This window comes from Homo sapiens, chromosome 5 (assembly GCF_000001405.40).
Source record: "Homo sapiens chromosome 5, GRCh38.p14 Primary Assembly".
NCBI classification, from domain to species: domain Eukaryota; kingdom Metazoa; phylum Chordata; class Mammalia; order Primates; family Hominidae; genus Homo; species Homo sapiens.
In genome coordinates, this window is record NC_000005.10 from 5271095 (window position 1) to 5288384 (window position 17290).

Below are 17290 nucleotides of genomic sequence, written 5' to 3' on the forward strand. Positions count from 1 at the left end.
TTAACTTAAATGAAAAAGGAAACCTGCTGTGCTGGCTGGAGCCCCAGCCTCCTCCTCAGCACCCAGAGGCCGTCCTGCAGCCTTGCAGGCTCCTGCAATTGCATTGCCAGATGGGATCCCCTAAGTCCTAAATCTCTGCAGGGGGCAGGGTGTTGGGTGTCTAGAAGTCTTCTTGCTGGAGATTCTCTTAAAATGGCTGTGCAGCCTCGGCCAGCAGGAGTATCCTGGAGAAATAACAGGCATCAGCAATTCCCAGTGGCTCCTCCAGGACCGGGGAGCTGTGCAGCCTGTGGCTCCCGCTCCTTCCGCTCCTCCCGCTCCTCCCTCACACGGAGGCTCCTCCCTGCGCGGGCACTGCCCAGACAAGCAGCCTACGGCCCTCCCGCGGCTGCCCCGCCCCCATCTGCATTCTAGCATGAATCAGGCCTTTTTATCACTTGCTTTTGAAACATGGATGATAAATCACACAAATATTTATTCCCTTTATACTTCTCAGTTTATCTAAATGGAGTGGCTCTTCGGGTCATTCATCTTAACTCTCGTTTTCTAAGCATTAACACTAATCACACACCTGCCAGGACAGGGGATTGAAGATACAAGAGGAAATGCTTTCCAGATGGTAAATGGAGACTTCCCCTCTGTTTTCAGGACTCTTCTAGGGATGCCAAGTAAGAGTCTAGATAACGCCGAGTAAGAGTCTGGATCACATATCGTGATCAAATGCTTTGTTTTCTCTGTAGCCCCGTCTCCACTTGATATTTGGATGGCTTATTCTTCTTGCTTATACAAACCCATTAGTGGAATAATTCCTTTTACAACCAAGATACATGGGTCCGTAGCTCTGCCTGCTGGTTGCACACTCTAGAAATGAAAGATAAGGCTCAGCAGGGCAGCTTTATTTCCACTGCTCTCCTATAGAAACACTTGCAATGAAAAGGGGGGAGCAATTTCCTTTTCTGTAGTTGCTTATCTCTTTTCGATCTGAGGCCGTGAAAATACTAATCACCCAGTAATGCACCCGTTACCAAGGGAATGAAAAGAAATCTGGTTGCTTAGGTGGTGTTTGTGTAGGAGAGGGTTTTGCTCACAGGAATGCTGGAGAAGTGAACATCTCGGTTCATTTAATTATCTAAGTAGCTGAGCGTTCCCAAGCAGCAGGATGGGCTTCCTGGGAGTGAGACCTGCGCAGCCTCCAGTGCTCCCTGCTCAGAGGAGCCTCCTGTGTAGTTTTATTCTCGGCTGTTGCTGATATGAAATTCCAAAGGATTTTTTTTTTTTTTTTTTTGAGATGGAGTCTTGCTCTGTCACCCAGGCTGGAGTGCAGTGGCGCAATCTCGGCTCACTGCAAGCGCCGCCTCCCGAGTTCACACCATTCTCCTGCCTCAACCTCCTGAGTAGCTGGGACTACAGGCACCCGCCACTACGCCTGGCTAATTTTTTTTTTGTATTTTTAGTAGAGATGGGGTTTCACTGTGTTAGCCAGGATGGTCTCGATCTCCTGACCTGGTGATCCGCCTGCCTCGGCCTCCCAAAGTGCTGGGATTACAGGCGTGAGCCACTGCCCCCGGCCCCAAAGGATTTTTAACAAGGGGCCTGGCACATTTGTTTTGCACTGGGGCCCACGAACGGCACAGTCAGGGTGGCAGGCAGCCCCACTTCTGTGTCAACATGGCTTTCTGGAATATTTGGGGATTGTATTAGAATGCTTGGTGTTTTAGCAAATCTACTATGCATTCATTACTTGAGTTCAAGAAGCCATTCTATACTGTTGTCAGATCATGGGTGTGAGCCTCCAAGGTCCGCAGGCAGTGGCTCTCTGCAGTTACTTTCTTTGTGCTTCTGGAATGAGAGCCAGTTTTACTCAACTTTGGAGTACTTGCAGGGGGAAGAAGTAACCATGAGGGGCCCTTCCAGAGTCATTAGAGCTTTGTTCTGTAGATCCCAAGGTTTGCCCTCTCTGCTGAGAGAGAGCCCAGTGGGGTGGACACGGGACTGTGTGTCTCACCCACAGAAGCCACCGTGCTGAGGCCCACCTGATCGTCTTTGGGTACCTGTTTGCCCTCCACTGTGCCCTTTGCAAAGACATCTAACCAATCTCAGTCTAATCAGGGAAACCAGAAGTGCTATGGCCCCTCCAGAATGAGTGCTGGGCCTGGCCCAGTGACTCACGCCTGTAATCCCAGCACTTTGGGGCAAGTGGACGGCTTGAGCTCAGGAGTTCGAGACCAGCCTGCCTGGGCAACATGGTGAAACTTCAGCTCTACCAAAAATACAAAAAACTTAGCTGATGTGGTGGCACACGCCTGTGCTCTCAACTACTTGGGAGGGAGAGGTGGGAGGATCACTTGAGCCCAGGAGGCAGAGGTTGCCCTGATGGCACCACTGCACTCCAGCCTGGGCCACAGAGTGAAAACCTGTCTCAATAAATAAATAAATGTATGAAATAAAAGATAAACACTGTTAGGGAGCTGTTCAGCTACAGTGTGACGTCACCAGATCAGGTAGGAATGCCGTGGCTTGAAACTGTCTGATCACCTCAATGTGCTGATTCTGAGGTATAAAAGATGACACCTTACTGTGTCTCCCCTGGGGAAAATGTGACTTTGCACCAAAACAATGAGCTTGAAATGTATTTAAGCAGGTACAGACATTGGCCTGCATACGTCTCTAATGAAAGTCAAGTGATAACTATAGACAAACACAATAAACCGTAAGCCAGACTAATTGAACTTATTTCATGAAACACTGAAAAGGAACATAGAAACCATTGCAGAAGCAGTGGGGATACAACATTAACTTTCTGAATTTGAATATGTCATTGTACATCTAGAAATGTGCCTTAAGTAGTCCTGTAAGGTATTTTGTACTTTGAGTTTTTATATTTTGTTTGCTTGATTTTCATTGTGTTGTATGTGTATGTGTTTTGTTTTATTTACTTATTTTTAAAGACCTTTTTTTCCAGCAGTTTTTGCTTCATTTCATGGCAACATTAAGCAGAAAGTAGAACATTCCCATATATTTCCTAGGCCCACACTCGTCCACCCTTCCCCACCATCAACATTCCCCACCGGCGTGCTCCATTTGTAAAAATTTGTGAGCCCACATGGACACATCCCTATCACCCAAGTCCATAGTTTACATGGGCGCTCACTCTTAGTGTCATACATGCTGTGGGTCTGGACAAATGTATTCTGACATCAATCCACCATGATAGTATAATATAGGGGAGCTTCACTGCCCTGCAGATCCTCCATGCTCTGCCTGTTCATCCTCCCTCCCGACCAACCCCTGGCAACCGCTGCCCTATTTACTGTCTCCACAGTGTTGCCTTTTCCAGAATGTCATATAGTTGGAATCATACAGCATGCAACCTCTTCAGATTGGCTTCTTTCACTTAGTCACATGCGTGTAAGTTTCCTCCATGTCTTTTTGTAGCTCATTTTTTCTTAGCATTGGATAACATTTTATTGTCTGGATGCACCAGGTTTATTTATCCAGTCACCTGCTTAAGGACATCTTGGTTGCTTTACTTTTAGTACATTTTTAGTATTTTATATGTGTGTGCATGTGTGTATATGTGTATATATATACATATATACATATATATACACATATATATGCATACACACACATGCACACACAGATATATATATATACACATATATGTATATCATCCATATAAGAAAGGGCAGAAAGATACCTTGTGAACTAAAGAATACTTCTGGTTTTCAGGAAACTTAGCTGGTTATTTAGGTTAAATCATTAAATTTTTCATTTCTGTTTTCTGGGACTCAGTGTGGTTGGCTCTAAAATTCACTAAGATTTCCCACACTCAGCGTAACTGTCCCCTAATAATTAAAACCGTGGCACATGCTTCAAATATTTTGGAATGAGAATGCAAAACAAACTGGTGGATAGATAGAATAGATAGCTTGCATTACAAATCTCTATCTATGTCCATGCAATTACTGCAAATGTGCTCATAAGTGCTTCCTGAAATATTTGCTGAAAAGTGCAAGCTTCATTCAGAATCAAGGTTCTGGGGTTGGAGGGAAGAACACAATATATTGTTTTTAGATACAATTAGGCACCATTGCTCTATTCTCTGACCCATCAATAATTTAGAATTGTGGTTCTATATTTCCAAATGTATGGAAGCTTCAGGGTACATTTTTTTCTGTTATTTAAAGTGTTCTTATATTGAAATCAAAGGAAGTTTTAAAGTTATCTTATTTTTGGCATTTTTGAGACTTCCTTTATGGCTTAACAATGGGAGTTTGTTATAAATATTTCCCGTGAGAATCAAGGAATGTGTTCTGAATAGGGTTATTCATATGACAACTAGATCAAATTCCATAGTTATTTATTTAAATCTGTTATGTTCTTATGTTTGTCTACTTTCTCTGCTTCTGAGAGAAGTCTATTAAAATTTCACATTATGATTGATTGTTTTTCCATTTTTTCTCTTAGTTTTACTTTACAATTGACTTTAAAATTCCACTTTGTATTGTTAGATAGTTATAGTTTCTGCATAAATTGTTCTTTTGTTATTAAGTAATGACCATCCTTATTTCTGATCTTGCTTTCCAATTTATGATTTATTTTGTCTGAAATTAACACTACGGGCACCAGCTCCATTTATTATTATTTTTTGACTCGGCTTACATTTCTTAATTATTTTTATTTTTAAATGTTTGTGTCATTGGGTTTACCTATGTCTTTAGTAAATAATATTCTGCTGAATTTTAATTTTATCAAATGAAGAATCTATTTTTTTTTTTTTTAAGACGGCGTCGTACTCTGTCACCCAGGCTGGAGTGCAGTGGTGCAATCAGCTCACCGCAACCAACATCACCCAGGTTCAAGCAATTCTCCTGTCTCAGCCTCCCGAGTAGCTGGGATTACAGGCATGCACCATCATGCTCAGCTGATTTTTGTATTTTTAGTAGAGAAGGGGTTTTGCCATGTTGGTCAGGCTGGTCTTGAACTCCTGACCTCAGGTGATCCACCCATCTTGGCCTCCCAAACTGCTGGGATTACAGGTGTGAGCCACAGTGCCCGGCCAAACCTATCTTTTCTTTTAACATAAGCTGAATCTCTTCTTATGGAGTGTGGTTATATTTGGATTTAGGTCCACCAATTTATTGTATGTCTTCTACTTACCATGTCTTCTTTTCTTCATCTTACCGTTTCATGTCTCTGCTCATTTCTAACGAATCTGTAGAATTGTCTTTATTCTCTTCTATTTCTACTACTGCTGGAAGTGATATATTCTTCTATAAGACCACCACTTTCTGATTTAAAATAGATAAGACAGACCCGAGTGTAAATTACTGTAACTTGCTAGATATCCAGGATTACTCACACAAGATTATCTTAAAACTCTGAGGAATAAGGAATTTATACAAAGAGCGAAGTGAGCTTAAACTGAAGATTAAATCTTTTTGCAGACCTATGATGCAGAGTTCCTAGATTTTCTGTGCACATTCTTCAAGGGGTGTTGGAAAGCAGCAGGCCGAGAGCCAGGCGCTACGCAGCAGACACACTAGCATGGACAGTCTCTGGGGAGGCTGGGCCAGCGAGCAGGAGAGAAGGCATCGCTGATTCACACAGTGGGGCTGCTTGCATTTGGAGTGGGGTCAGCCAGGACTGTTGAGCCCAGAAACAGGACCCAGCACAACTGGCCCCGGAAAGAGAACATCTCCCTCAGAGTGTGACCACTAGCCTCGTTTTTCTCTTTTTTCTTGCCAAAAACAAGAAACAAAACAAAATGAAGGAAAATGAAAAAAAAAATCTTCATTAACCCTGTGTTTATTAAGAATAAATATGTTTTAGTGTCACGATTTCTTTCAAGATACTCACCGAGGCCTCGTTTTCGAAAGCACTGCACTCTGTTAAAGAAAACATGGCGAAACATTGCAGTCTTTTAAACCATGCTTTGATTCTGAAAATCGCAGATGCTAAATGTGTTGGACATGAAACCTATGAAGATGTCACTAATTTAGAATTTGTGATTTTCAATGACAGAGTTGGATTGAAATCTCCCCCTTACGCTGTCTCCCAGCATGAGGTTTGCTAAGGTAATTTAAAAGAATAGTCAAATGTCAGTGGAAGGACAGATGCTTCAGCCGCATCACAGAAGAAAACCAGGCTTCCTCCCCATTCACCAAGACAGCTTTTATCAGGGAGATAATATATACTACAGCATGTGTTCAGTTACTCGGCAGATACTTACTGAGTGACAGACAGCCCAACACCTGCCACGGACTACATGGTTTGGAAATGGCCCCTGAGCTATAGGGCCAACGTGCTAGAGAGGGGCGCTTGCTCACCAGGCTGACCAGTGAACGCACAGAATCATTTCAAGGTTTGAAATGATTGCAGTCATCATAAAGGAAGACCACAGTCTCCTAGAATGCATGGGTTTGTCTGGATCCAATGCAAGGCAAGAATCCATGCAAGAATTCCTCTCTCAGCTCCAGCCACCCACATTGTCCCAGAGTCTGATTTTACTTTTACGCCAAATGAAATTCCAATAATTAGGGCTTTTTCATTGTTTTGATGCATTTATGATATATTTCCTTAATTTACAAAGACTAAGCTGGGTGTGGCGGCTCACCCCTGTAATTCTAGCACTGTAGAAGGGTGAGGCCGGAGGATCGCTTGAGATAGGAGTTTGAAACCAGCCTGGGCAACACAGTAAGACCCCATCTACACAAATAGTAATAATTTTAAAAATTAGCCAGGTGTGATAGCATGCACCTATAGTCCTAGCTACTCAGGAGGCTGAGGCAGGAGGATTGTTTGCACCTGGGAGGTCAAGGGTGCAGTGAGCTATGATCATGCCACTGTCCTCCAGCCTAAGTAACAGAACAAGACTCTGTCTTAAAAAAAAGAAAAAAAAGACTAAAGAGAAGTAAAGAGAAGAATCTGTTTAAATTGTTAAAATTGAACATTTAAACTAAATGTAGGTTTTTGTTTCTGACATCTATTATTTCAGTGAACTTATTACTTAGTGACCACGTGAACATTGTTTAAACCCTTCATTGTATTGTACTTTAAAGCCATCTATGAGAAGTCACAGCTCCCTGCCCCAGCCACTCACCCATCTCCAACCTCAATGACCCGGTGCCAAGAATTCCAGTGACTTTGGTTCTCCATTCTGGTATTCTGATATTTGGAAATAACATGCATGATAGCCGGTTTCTATTTATTGATTTTAAAGATTATCCTATTATCCATTGCAGGTGAGGACTTGGCCTTTTTGTGGCACCTTTTATCAGTTTTATATCACTCAGCTCTCTTACCACCAAATTCGTGTCCCTCCGTCCTGCTTATGTGATTAGAGCCCATGGTTACTCATTGTCATCACTCCTTATTATTGTTGCTAGCTAAGCAGAGCTCCCTGATTCTATCTTCTTACATGTATAAAATGTTATTTGTCTAGAAGCTAATGATTGCCTGACTTTTGTTTGCTTAGGTTTGTTATATAAATTCCAAAAGATATATCAACTTCATGGATTCATTTAACAAATATAATTGAGTGTCTACTATGTGTCAGGCCCTTGGGACACCTTAGTGAATAAACAGACAAAGCTCCCTGTCCTGGAGGAGCATGTGTTTAAGTTGGGGGTGACAGAGTCAACAATAGATACAGTGTTTATTTAGACCATATGCTTAGACTTTATGTTTATTTCTCTTTTTGTTTATTTATAGATGTTTATAAACATAATGTATTTTAAATGATAGCACATTTTAGAAAGTGATAAGTGTCATGGATAAAAATGAAAAAAAGGGGGAAAAAACCAATAAAAAACCAACCAAACAAACAAAAAAAACAAAACGAAGGGAGAAAGGGAGATTAGAATTCCAAAAGAAGGGGGTGCAGGTTGTAGGTAGACTGAATAGAAAGTGCCATTTGAACAAAGGTTAGGAGGAGGTGAGCATGTGAAATGTCCACGCTCTATTTCCCCCACACAGGCCAATCTCTCCATCCCTTTTTCCCTGCACTCCTCATTCCCAGTGCTGCCCTCCTTGTTCCAGCCCAGGCCTGTCACCCTGCTGGAGCTTCCTGTGTGTCTCTGCCATGCTGAACACCCTGTTTGTGGATGCCAGGCATTGTCTGTCTGTGGGAAACACAGAAGCAATCTTCTGACTGCCTCCAAGGCTTCTCAGCTAACAAAGAGTTAGAGAACAGGATTCTGGGGTGGAAGTCACTTTCCCCAGGAGTTTTAGCGTAATGTCCTTGACTCCCATCCACTGTGGCTACTGAGAAGTCCATTGTTCCTCTAATCCCCAGTCCTTCATTTGGAAACTGTCTTTTTTTCATTTTCCTCTCCCCTTTCTGGAAGCTTTAGGGACTTTTACTTATTCCTGGTCTCTTACGTGCTTTAATGGCTTGGTATTTTCACTCATTTGCTGAGTCCACAGTGGTTCTTTTCAATTTGGGGAAAAAAGATTTTATTAATACTCTCCTTCATTTGTTTATGCTCTTGCCTTCTGAACTCTAACACAGTAGACAAATGTTATGATGTTCTTGTGTTTTCTTTTCAGATGTCCATCTCTTTGTCTTTTTATCTTGGAAGTTTTTTTGAATTTTATCTTCCAGGTTTTCTGCTTTTTGTTTTGCTTTTGTTTGTTTGCTTGTTTTATACCTGATTACCCTCCTTCATATTTTCAAATGCTCATTTTATTTTTTGGTCTTTGTTTCTTCTCTTTTAAGGCATCCTGCTCTACTTGTTTCTCTATAAAGATACTAGAGTTGTTTATTTTCCTTCCCTCCCTCCCTTCCTTCCTTCCTTCTTTCTTTTCTTTTCTTTCTTTATTTCTCTTTTTCTTTCTTTCTTTCTTTTTCCTTCCTTCCTTCTTTCCTTCTTTCTTTTTTTCTTTCATTTTGTTCTTTCTTTTCTTTCTCTACTCTTCTCTTTGTCTTCTGTAAAGTATTTTTATCTGTAGAGTATTTTTCCTCCACAATCCTTCCAGTGTCTGAGTGGTAGATTTTGCTCCTTTTTTGTGTGTGTTGATATCTTCCATAAATATCTAATAATCCTGAACTGAATCCTGAATCCTGAATCCTGAATCCAGGCACGTTAAGACTGAGTCACCAAGACTTTACTTAGATGTTCTCAGTGTTGAGAGACTCCTTCATCAATGGCTGGGCAGGAAGCCTTTTATTTCTGCCTTGCCACCTCCCAAATTATTTCCTCCAGGTTCATCCATTTCTCTAGAGAAGGATCCTGTGGCGGAGTGAAGGACAATGGAGGGGTGTGTGTGTTTCAATTTATTATTGCTAATTATTACAATGAACATCTTATGACTACTTAGTTGTAAGTTGTGTGTCTTATGACTACTTAGTTGGAGGTGTGTTTGTATTCCAGGGGTGCATCAACATGTGTGCCTAGTACTCTGAAGCACAGAGACAAGGTTGGGAAAGTGTCTTGGAATTTCCCGTTTAAACACCTCTGGCTGAGGTTGGTATCCCCAAGTCAGTCTCTGCAATGGGAACCTCCTTCCTGGCCTTCCTTAGAATTGGGGATGGTGGTGGAGAGGTTTAGTACATGCTAAACCTATCTGTTGAGTAACGGAATTCTATTGTTGCTTAAAGCGCCACCTAATTAGTCATAAGACATTCATTATAACAATTAGCAATAATAAATTGAAGTTAAAGCAATTGAAATATGGAAAAAATGATATAAGCCTATAATTAAATATATTGAGAAGAAAATAAAGTAAATTACCTCTAGGGGAACCTACTCATCCCACGTTGCTCAGAACTGTTCTGGTTTTACAACTGGAAATCCCAAGTCTGGGAACCCTCTCAGGCCCAAGCAAACCAGCGCAGCTGTTTGCTCTACCCTATCTCTTCATGTTTGATAAACATACTGAATTATAGTAGAAAATGTTAATCCAGTTATTTTCCTTCTAGCCAGCAATATTCACCATTGGATGCTAAATAATGACAGTTCTTTAAAAAGAGAAGCAGAAATGTCCAGGGAATACAACTGGAGTGTCAGTGCAGAAATGATAGTAATTACTGGGGAGGAGAGCATCACATGAAGCCAAGAAAGCTGAAGCTTTAAGGCTCTTCTAATCGCAAGTTCCTAATTTTGAAAATACTCTTCTTACAAGGGGTAGCCCTAAGTTACATAAGCTCCAGGCCTCACAAAACCTCCAGGATCCACTCAGATAATAGATAATAGCGCTTATGATGATGATAAAAGGTTTTTAAAACTTTTGTATTAAAACATGTATTTTAACACTTCGTTCCTTATATCAAAATAAATCTCATTTTGATCAAAATCAAATTTAAAGTAATCAAAATGTTTGAAGAGAATATGAGTAAATATTTCATAATATTAGAGTATTAAAAACTTTATAAGTATATCATGTAAACAAGAATCTATTAAGGGAAACTTCATTGCATAACACAAATATAATGTGTAACAGCAACAAATCAGTGTGTCTGGCAAGATGCTACAACAAAATCCCATGATTGCTACACAGAGCGTGAAGGTTATGCCCTGAGGACCAAACAGTTTATCTCCCAAACCAGGCCATAAATTTTGTATTTAAAACATGTGTAGATGCAGAGACTGGGGAGTTGGCCACTGGGGATTGTAGAGTGAGAAAAATACCAGGGACATGCTTAATCCACTACCCTATTGGGTGGTTTATAGGCAATGAATGTAAATGACTCCATATGAAAGTGTATTTCACAGACTCTTATTTTTACCTTATTAATTTTTCGTGTGTGTATGTGTGTATTAGGAAAATATGTAAATACAGACACATATCTGTGTGTGATAAAAGTGAATAATGTGTGTTTGAGTGGGTGTATACAAAATACAGAAAACGAAGGCCCTCATGATGAGTGTAATAACGTGACAAGTTACTGCATTATGATGATGAGTGTGATAATGCATTGGTTTGCTCAGAACAGTAGTATATGCTCACCCGTTGAGCCTTTGTTGGCTAGCAGCCTCCGACCCTCATGAGTGGCTGGTTTGGGAGATAAACTGTTTGGTCCTTGATGCATAACTGTCACGCTCTGGGTAGTGATCATGGCCGTTCATTGTAGCATCTTGCCAGACACATTGATTTGTGGCTGTTACACATTATATTTGTGTTCTGTAATGGAGTTTCCCTTAATAGATTCTTGTTTACATGACACATTTAGAAAGTTTTTAATACTCTAATATTATGAAATATTTACTCATATTCTCTTCAAACATTTTGATTACTTTGAATTTGATTTTGACCAAAATGAGATTTATTTTGACATAAGGAATGAAGTGTAAGGTTCCCAGTTATTCTTCCAATGCCTACCAATCTGTACCAACAACATTTATTGAAAAATTCATTTTCTCTGCATTGAGTTGGAAGGCCAGCCCTCTCCTCACTTAAATCCACATGCGGTTCACAAAGCCTGACTGTCCTTCCCCGCCCTTCCCTGTGGCGCTGGCTTCTCCTCCCCACTGTTTCATCCCTGCAGTGGTTCCTAAAGCTTACTCCCCAACAGGGAAAGCCCACCTCTCAACACTTGTCTTTCTTAGAAGGTTTAGGGCTCTTCCTGAATGTTTTTCCCAGAAGAAATATATATTCTTGTTGTCAAGTTTAAAAATAAAAAATAATCTTTCTGAAATTTTGGTTGGGATTACATTGTATTATTAGATAAATTTAGGCAAAGTTGAAAACTCAAAAACTTGGAAGCTACCTATCAGAAACCATTTTAAAAAATTTTTACTTTAGTCACTGTTTTTTTCAAGAACAGTTTATAGATTTATTTATGTAGGGGAATATAAGTGTAGTTATTTTTTCCTTAATAATGTTTAATAATTTTTATTAATATCGGAAATAAAATTTTATATTTTATTTAGTATTATTTTTATAGAGTAAAACATTCATTGTGTAATCAGATCCTAAAATTTTATATTTTTACATTTTTTCAAACAATAATCATATATTTTAATATCATAAGTCAATACTGATAATTTTGGCTTCCCTCTCTAGTGTGTATATCTCTTATTTACCCCTGCCCTTAGTTTAAAGGCAATGACATATATTTCTAGAACAATACTACAATGTATTTTTTCCTGTCCCTGATCTCAGTTAGAATGTTTCTGCATTTTCACAATTAAGTGCTGGCTCTTATTTGATATGTATCACATATTACATTGTAATTTTTTATCTGATTATGGAAACATTCACTTATTTCCATCTTCTCAGCATGACTAAATTTTTGCTCATGGCTTTTCTCCTACATAACTATTCTATAGTGGCCTTGGAGAAATTGTAAGAAAAGAAGTTGACAAATGTGTTTTTTAAAGTTTGTGACAATCTGTACACAACACAAGGAAGAGACCCATGCCCCTCCCCCCACCTCCCCCCCAGAAAGCCCACAGGACTCTGTCACCTCAAGCTCTGTGTCTACCAATCCTTGGTGACTTTTTCTTTTATCAAGAAGATTGGCCTTGTCCAGTCACACAGGATCCTGGGCTCAATAGGCAAAAGGTGTAAACTCACGAGACCCCAGGATCACAGAGTCACAGAGGATGCTGAGTGTTGACTGATGCTCTGTGTCTTTATGTACATGACACTGTGTTAGCTCCATCAGTGAAGAACACTTGAACCCATGCACATTTCCATCACTCAAAAGAAGTGAGCAGTCATGACTTTATATTTGTGAAGAAAAGTGCACCTCAATCTATAACCTTAGGTGAATGAAGCTTGGGGTGTGTGAGTAATTAAACCATCCTTGCACTCCTGTAATGAGCCCCAGTTGATCTTTATGTATTCTTTACTGGTCTGGTGGCTTTAATAGTATTTTCTTTATAATTTTTTATACATTTCATAAGATTGGTCTATGATATTATTTGTGTGTTACCTTTCAAAAGATGTCTTATATTGTTTAATCTAAGTTTACTTCTTATTTGAATTATTTAACTTTTTTAATGTTTACTTTTCTTTTATAGCTTTTGCTATATGACTGTCTTCTTTTTTGTACCCTTTGGTTATTTAGAAAACACACCATATATTTCTAATACTACTATAGTTGCCTCTACAATTTAAAATCATTGCTTATGCCACTCTTTCTTGATTGATTAATGTTACAAATTAAACTAAAGCCATAAAGACCTTCACAGGCAAAATAAAGCTATTGGCACATTTCTACCTCTTTCATTTTCTAGTCCTCTCATTTCAGTTCAAGCTCCAACCTTTGTTATAATTGCTTGCAGTTTCCTTATTTCAGTTTCACTTTAATATTTTATATTGTGTACCTCTAACCTTTCAATAGTAATGCATGTAAATTCTGTTTTACAATCTTCACCACAGTTGTTCAGGTTGAATTGTCTATGTAAGTGGATCCAGTGGCCTTGCCAGTCCTTCTGTGCCATAGCTTTCTGATTCTCAAGTTTGATGGTATAATCTCCCTGCTCAGAGAGTGAGCATCTCAGGAGTGTTGTTCAGAAGGATGATTGCTCCTGGATTTCCTGGCTGCTTGCTGCTTCTCTGTTGCTCCATGCCAGCTCGTTAATAGAATTCTGTCTTGTTTTCTCCACTTGGTGTCTTCATTGAATTCTCACTCTCTTATGTTACCTGACAGTGTAATCATGTTTTGTGAAATTGATTTGCTTAAGTCGGTCTTCTTCCAGAATATTTTTAAAATTTTAATGCCATATACCCTTTTCACATATGTGTTTTTGTAGGGAGGGGTTTGTAATTTTTCTGTAGGTTCCATGTGAGGTTTCTTTTTTCCCAACTCATTCTGACCAGGGAATTTCCATACAAGTCATTTATAGACCAAAAATGGAGCTGATCTCCCTGCTGCAGGCCTTGTTCCTCTGGCGCACTTATTCTGAGTGCTTTATGGAACCAATACCAATGGCTTGTAACAAGAATAGTGCTTTTGTTTTGGTTCTTTTGAGATGTTCACAGTTTGTCAGCCTTTACTTGATTTGGGGAAAAGGAATCTGTACTACCTCACTTGCACCATCTCTCCCAAAATGACCACCATGATGTTTAAGATAAAAAAGAAGTTTCAGAGAGATGTGTTTTTTTAAAAAAAATAAAGCTATCAAAGAGTGGTCCACACCCATCAAATAATTGTATGGCCTTATAGATACCAAAGACATTAACTCAGAATCTGGTGTGTTGACCAACAGAAGCGTTATTTCTCTCTGAAAACCATGCTGCCTTTCCACCTGCAGTGAAGGATGCTTGTGAAAGGTTTCTTCAGCACTGGCAGTGGCCACACTCTCCCAGTGGCCACTGTGCCCACATCTGGGATGCGCCTTTAGTCTACCTCTGAATGGTGGGTCTCACAATGTTCCAAACTCGGGTGCAGCCCCGACTGCCTGTCTGTGCTGGGATCCTGGCTCCACGACGTGCTCCTGCAAGCCTTGGGCACATTTGTTAGTATTTCTGCACCTGTTTATTAATCTCTGAAATGTGCACAATAATCAAAGCTACCACACAGATTTGTTGTGAGAATTAAAAATTTCATGCAGGTAAAGCACCTCATTAAATACTAGCTATTAGTATTATAGGAACTCTGTAAACTAGAGGGATTTGGACATTGGATTAATCAGCAGGGATCATCTGACTGTAGATGGTTCAGAGACTTGCAATAGATGTTGATTTCTTTAAGACAATGAGATTTTTCAATGTCTGTTCAAGGCCACTTAATGCCTTTTAACTCATAATACACAACAAACCATATATTAGATATCTGCATTCAACTCTCCAGTAATATCAGCATTTCAGATGCCTTCACTTCTTCTTCTTCTTCAGTAGAACCTTTTCTTTACTTCAAATAATTGAATTTCCCCAGTGCTTTCCTGAGTTTGTGAATGCTAATGCAATTCTCTGTTGCGACTTGTGCGTATGTAGACTTTGCATCATAGTGGCATCTCAAGGAAGACATCACAACACTGCCTAAACTACCCAGATGCTGCTCCTCTGTTCTACATATGACCCTTCGGAATGAATCATTATAAATGCTACATGGGTTGGCTGCTTTCCCATTTAAATGGGATGAACTAGAGAATGAGGTCTTTAAATACAGCCTTTCTCTACCCCCAACTCATTGTAACAATACTGAGCATATGTGAAACCACTGAAATCTAAAATAGAGTATTTTCTGATGTCTGTATTTATATACATAAATACCACAGAATGATTAGGCCTTTTTGCAGCATAGACCAATAAATTATGCCAATGATAATACAGCTAATTTCATTATACAGTACAGTATATTCCTCCTCATATTCCCTTAGTTTTCTGGACCAATGTTTTTAAGAGCAATAGATAAATATGACATTTTCAACATGATTCATTTGATAAGTTTTGTGATGTAATGGCTAAAGCTTTACATTTGGAAGTTGGAAGTTGATTCCAAAGAATGAAACAGTAATTGTTGTTTAACTAATTATTTAGCTGACTAAATATCTAACAATATTATTTAAATATTTTAAAGAGTTTTTAGCCAGGTGAGGTGGCTCACGCCTGTAATCCCAGCACTTTGGGAGGCTGAGGTGGGCAGATCACAAGATCAGGAGATGGAGACCATCCTGGCTAACACGGTGAAACCCCGTCTCTACTAAAAATACAAAAAATTACCCAGGTGCGGTGGCGAGCACCTGTAGTCCCAGCTACTTGGGAGGCTGAGGCAGGAGAATGATGCAAACCCAGGAGGTGGAGTTTGCAGTGAGCCGAGATAGTGCCACTGCACTCCAGCCTGGGCGATGGAGCAAGACTCCGTCTCAAAAAAAAAAAAAAAAAAAAAAAAAAGAGTTTTTATAACCCTTTAGTATGTGCTAACATATAGAACCTACTTGATGGGAAAAAGATTCAACCAATGAGTACCTAAGACTTAGTAAGAAAATCAGAAATAACAATCTGAAGGTATCTTGAAGAAGAATGAAGGCATCAGAAAGGTAGTTTCAAGGAACAGGAGCCAGGAGGTTACATAAATATTGTTCTACCTACTCAATATATTCATTTCCTGGAGCTGATTAATCTTCTCAAAGTGCCACAGTGTGAAGTCCTTCCTGCAGAGAATGGAATTGTTCCAGACTTATCAAGAAAGATGACTCCAATGTCAAATGTTAGCCATATACTCTTGGCAGACCCCTGGCCCAGCAGCATCTATTGGCCAGAAAAACTGTCTGCAGCGTGTGATGCCTTCACACCTGAGTCTCATCGTGGTAGCTATTTGAAAGCTTAAAAGATAAAACTTACAGATTCTTACAAATCATTGTAAAAATTCAAATCCTATGTGGAAATGACAGTATTCCTGAGTCTGCTGTCATTTCAACTCTTCACTTTTCAATTCTTTGCCTAGACCCATCTACAGAGGCTTATACCTCATATGCCTCATCATTCAGTTGCCATTGACTGCTTTCACCAATTTCTTTAAAAGCAAGGAAATTCGACTCCCAGTTTTGTTTAGCATGAGCAAGGTAACCACTAAGAAAGCGACGTAGAGAGTTCTTGGATCCAATGATGTGACCAAGATATTCTTACTGCCTGAGAGTAAAGAATGTCCCTGAGGCTCCGGGCGGGATATTGATGTTGATTTCACGGACGGTGTCAGCTTGCTTGCGGATTTGATTTGTGTAAAATATGGATTCAATCTGCTTCTTTGGTTTCTTTCTTAAAACCCATTAGATTTATGGTGATTCCTGGTGACCCCGTCACTGAAGACTTTACATAAAACCTTTGTGGATGGTCCTAACTGGCCAGTCCTGCTCGGCCCAGACCCTCACAGCCCACGCACTGGTGGAGCTCAGGAGCCTTAGGAACTGTGCGGCTGCAGGTCAGCCTCAAAGCATCCAGGTTCGCTGCAGGAGGACACCTGGAAAAAAATCTCAGAAAAACGGCTCAAGAGCCTGGAGAAGATCATTTCTAAGTATTAGTCTCAGAGTGAACATCCAAGAAACCCTGACGCGAAAATGCCAGAAAAGCCCGAAACTAGAGGAGGAAGGAGGCCATCATTTTAAAATCCTTGTCATAAAAGGAAGGAGTCGTCACAGCGGGGAGGGTTCACGTCTGTAATAGAATGGGAAACTGACAGTGTTCCCAAGAAAACGAAGAGCCGAAGAACGGAAGCCCATACACAGTTGCTAGTGAATCCTCCGTGATTTAAATTGCATTTCACACCTTGAGAAATGAATTAAACCATCTCCCGTGGGAAGGTCATTCATTTCAAAAGAAAGAAAAATGAACCTATGTTACTCATGAAATGTTTAAATTCATGTTAGACACGTAGGCTTTCCCTAGAATGCCACGT

General features: G+C 40.0%; 1 protein-coding gene and 1 long non-coding RNA gene across 5 annotated transcripts in view, besides 1 other annotated feature; one reads left to right on the forward strand and one right to left on the reverse strand.

The window, feature by feature from the left end:
- Positions 1–17290, forward strand: part of ADAMTS16 (ADAM metallopeptidase with thrombospondin type 1 motif 16) — a 179975-nt gene that overhangs the window by 130765 nt on the left and 31920 nt on the right. The gene's annotated exons all lie outside the window — the stretch shown is intronic.
- Positions 1–17290, reverse strand: part of LOC101929200 (uncharacterized) — a 163580-nt gene that overhangs the window by 12545 nt on the left and 133745 nt on the right. The window lies entirely within an intron of this gene.
- Positions 201–861: an enhancer, noted in NCBI's record as "H3K27ac-H3K4me1 hESC enhancer chr5:5271408-5272068 (GRCh37/hg19 assembly coordinates)". NCBI's record gives its function as "activates a minimal SCP1, AML or CMV promoter by ChIP-STARR-seq in naive H9 embryonic stem cells {active_cell/tissue: H9 hESC(naive)}" and the evidence as "EXISTENCE:reporter gene assay evidence [ECO:0000049][PMID:30033119]".